The 4,218-nt window shown below is 39.3% G+C and overlaps 1 long non-coding RNA gene across 1 annotated transcript; it reads left to right on the forward strand.

Moving 5' to 3' along the window:
- Window positions 1-1,118: 1,118 nt before the first annotated feature.
- On the forward strand, window positions 1,119-3,991 carry LOC107986601 (uncharacterized). Its single transcript, XR_001744150.2, has 3 exons — window positions 1,119-1,323; window positions 2,701-2,804; window positions 3,902-3,991. It is a non-coding gene; the product is annotated as an uncharacterized LOC107986601 (long non-coding RNA).
- The last annotated feature ends 227 nt before the right edge of the window (window positions 3,992-4,218 follow it).

The raw sequence follows: 4,218 nt of genomic DNA on the forward strand, positions 1-4,218 counted from the left end.
TGGTGGCTAAAGTGTTTCTGCATGTTCTACAGCCCATGGGGTCAGGAGAGGCTTAAGGGCTGTGAAGGAAACACCTGAAATTCCATAATAGCTAGTGCCTTTCAGCTGTGAAGACTGTAATGAGGACACCTGTATGTCACCTGGTTGAACCACACTCAGAAAATTCCAGGTAGAAGAAGAAAAGTAAACATATAATGAGTTTTGGCCACTTGAATATGATAAAACGTATTTTTATCTGTGAGGACAAGAAGCTCAGAGAAGTTAGGCAACTTGCCAAATATTCCATGGCTTGAAAATTACACAGTTAGGATATGCATAGAGGTTTGGGAGACTCAGAAGACTAACCTGTCTTCCAGAAAGCCAATGGCATCATGGGCAAGGAGAAGCTCTTCACAGGTGAGATGGAAAATGACTTCTGGTATCTAGGACAAAACACTTTAGAACATACCTTTTATGTTTTAGATGCAGCAGGTATGATGAGTAATAATTGTTCTCCTGTGAAGGAAGGGGAGCATACAGTACTGCTTTAGAGAGAACTGGTTGAATGCCCTGCAATTTTGTAAACAAAATTTTGTAAATAAAAATAGAAGGAAGGTGGGATTTGTCTACTGCTCATTCTCTTCCACAGCCTAGAAATTATAAAATGTTGTCCAAATTAGGAATTAAATCCCCAAATATGAAAGGATAGATGGGGATACCAATAAACATTGGCTGCCTGAGTAAATAAATGAGTCACTCCTGATAGAGCAGTGGACACAGAAATTGCTTTTGGATCAAAATTTTTTGAGGATGTTACATAGGGTTCGAGTCAGGGAAGCTGGCAAAAAATAACTTCTCTCCTGCGCTGGTGTTGGCTTCTTGGAAACGTAGGCACTAACTATATCATGGCCACCTAGGGCTTTCCCTTTCCTGTTTCATATTAGTACATCACAAAGGACTGAGTTCTCGATGTTTACTCAGTAAGAAGATAGCAGAAGAGTGGCTGAGAAGTAATAATCCTCTGTTTGTGTGATGACTGTATCCTGCTTGTGGCAACAGTGTGATGTGGCCGCAGAGACAGCTAATATGACCTTAGGCTGCAAGAAGGAGGTAATAAATGTTCCTTCTGTATTGTACAGCAATCAGCCTGCAGCTGAAGTTCTGCGACCAGTTCAGGGCAAGCTGCTTCCAGAGTGTCACTGATGAGCAAGAGCATGTTCAAACAGGATAACCAGCGTAATGAGCTGTCTGGAGATCGTGTCGTCTGAACAATTGTTGAAAGGGCAGGAAATTTTCTTCTCTTGTATTTTTTTTTCTGTAAGGCAAGAGTCTTCAGGGGAACAGGTGAGCTCTCTTCAAGTATTTGAGGAACTGCTTTGTGAAAAATGAGTGAGTTTTATTCTGATTAGACTAAAAAGTAGACTTAGATATCAGATCAATGCAGGGAGGAACTTACTAAGAATTGTCTAAAGACAGAATGTGTTGCCTCACAAGGGAGTCAGCCTCCCACTATAAGATGTGTGCAAGCAGAATCTAGATGTTTGCAGCTTGGATAGAAGGCTGGGCAATAAATATTGGAGAGCAAGTGGAAGCTGACCTAGGAAGAACGTCTGGTTTTCTGGCATAGTTCAGTTAGTACCAGTTAGGATATCATGATTTTCATTTGCTAAATTTGCAGAGCCCATACCTACTGTGACCAGAGAAGGAAGGAGCCTGAGATGTCATTAATTGAATTCATTCATTTTGTAGACAAGCCTAACTGTTGTCTTCAGCCACTTAGAGGTGCTTGAAACAAAGGAGATAACAAAAGAGATCTTCTGCCCTTTCACTTACCATTGGTTTTCAAAATTATCCAGGGAGGCTGAGGGATAGGCTCCTGGGCTCAGAGCTGTTGTGCTCATCTACTATAAATGTTTGATTTCTGCATTGGCCTTTGGAGAAAGGCTCTGCACCTGAAAATTCAGAAACGCTGGTTTATACCAAATAGCATGCCCTTCTATCTCCTGTAGTTTTCATAGTAGTGGGATAATGGCACTTGTTCTCTGCCTTGAGAAATGCTGTCAGTTGCTTTTTCAAGCACCGGTCACCATGAGAACCCAACAGGCTGAACAAGTGCTGAATATCTTGGGCTCACTGGTTGAGATTTATTATTTTCCTCCTGACTTGCATCGCCACTGTGTGTCACTGCTCTATTTTTCCTGAGCCACAGCCTATTTTTGTATGTGTATTAACCTAACTGCTTCCAACCTTTTCTCTCACTATTGATCTTCCCAGTTTGTCTCAAACCCTTCTGGGATTAAAAATGGCCAGCCCTCTCCATTTTAGTGGTATCTAAAAACTATTTTCATCTCTCAGTTTTATACTGCAAGTCACCCCAAATAGCATTGTCCTATTTATTACTTATAAATATTACAAATGCACTCTCAGCTTGCTTTCTCATATCTTCGTTCAGCTCTGTTAGCCTAACTATTTTTTGTGTGTGTGTTTCTCCTAACTGCACCTCCAAATCCGAGTTTCTGGTAAATTTCCCAGTGTGTTTCTGAGCCAAATTCATTTGTGTTCCCTCTAATGCTTGCATCTTTAACATCTTTATGCTTGTGTTTTTTGATTTTCCTCTCCTGTGAGGTTTGGGGACATTGCCTGCTTTATTATCAGTTGCAGATTTCATTTATCAGTTGTTCTGAATCAATAATGAAGATGTAAAACAATGTTTGACTCCAGGGGCTGCAGATGACACCTTCCTTCAGCAAGATTCATTTCTATTCATTTGTTGATACTGTCAGCCTTTCAACCATGGGAGCATGTATAGCCTGAGCAATTTGCAAGTAAGATTTTGATAATATTATCTAAAATGCTTTCTGAAAGTCTGACTATATGGGCATATTGCTTATATGTTCATTTTCTGTCCCACCCTGACTTGAATTTTTAGTAATGTGTAGTCCTCATCACATCCTTTTGAGATGACATGGATATTTACTGGTTTTCTCTTTACTATTAGATTCATATTTCAATAAACTGTAACTGCCAGTTTACCAAATGGCAATTATCAAGGTCCTTTTGGTCCAGTAGGCCACTTTTATTCCCTTTTGTATTGTACAGCAATCATGTACAATAAAAAAGTTCCTCCCTGCATTGATCTGATATCTATGCCTACTTTTTAGTCTAATCAGAATAAATCTCACTCATTTTTCACAAAGCAGTTCTTCAAATATTTGAAGAGAGCTCACTTGTTCCCCTGAGGACTCCTGCCTTATAGAAAAAAAATACAAGAAAAGAAAATTGCCTGCCCTTTCAACAATTGCTCAGATGACACGATCTCCAGACACCTCATTATACTGGTCATCCTGTTTGAACATGCTCCAGCTCATCAGTGACACTCTGGAAGCAGCTTGCCCTCAACTAGACATAGAAATTCAGCTGCAGGCTCATTGCTGTGCAATACATAAGGAATTGCTGTACAATACAGAAGGAAGATACAGCTACCTCCTTTCTATGGCAAACATTCCATTCATCCTGAATTATTAGGATACAGAGAGCCTAGTTTAGCCTAGATTAGCATTCATACCTAGACTGTTGGTGATCTGTGGACTATTTAATATGTAAGGCATGATGCACAGGCTCAGAGGTTATAAACTGAGGTTATAAGCCCATATGGACAGTTCCATGCTTAGATATGGCAGGTAATAGTAAATAATAGCTTGAATAGTGTTATTTATAGTAAAATATCTACCTGACAGCCAGTTGTGGCATTACCATGCAGTTTTGGGTATTTTGAGACATGTGACCCTTGTGTTAAAATTATGTACATTGGATTGACTTTTTTTTTTTTTTTAAGGAATTCTGGGTTTTGGTAAAATAAGGAGGAAGTAAAATTTTTCTCATCCTAAACTTTCTTTTCTTTTCTTTTTTTTTTTCCAATTAGAGCATAACAAATCATCCCTCAGAGGAAAAAAGCCAGCTCCCATTTTTGCTAATCCCTGCTAAGTTGTTAATGAATAAATGATAACTGAGCTGTTAGTATTCACAACTATGGACCTACCATATTACTTTTTCCAGAGACCTTTGCATCTTGACAGGGATCTCTAAGGGAACTGGTAAGCTTTCAAGATCAAAGGAGTGAAATGACAATGAAACATGGCCCTGAAGTTGATATTTTTGGAGGTAGTTTTCTTGCTTGTCACTCTTTTAATTTATCCCATACAATTTGCTTCCAGCAAACTGGTAAGGTGGGCTCTTTGG

This window comes from Homo sapiens, chromosome 6 (assembly GCF_000001405.40).
Source record: "Homo sapiens chromosome 6, GRCh38.p14 Primary Assembly".
Taxonomy (NCBI): domain Eukaryota; kingdom Metazoa; phylum Chordata; class Mammalia; order Primates; family Hominidae; genus Homo; species Homo sapiens.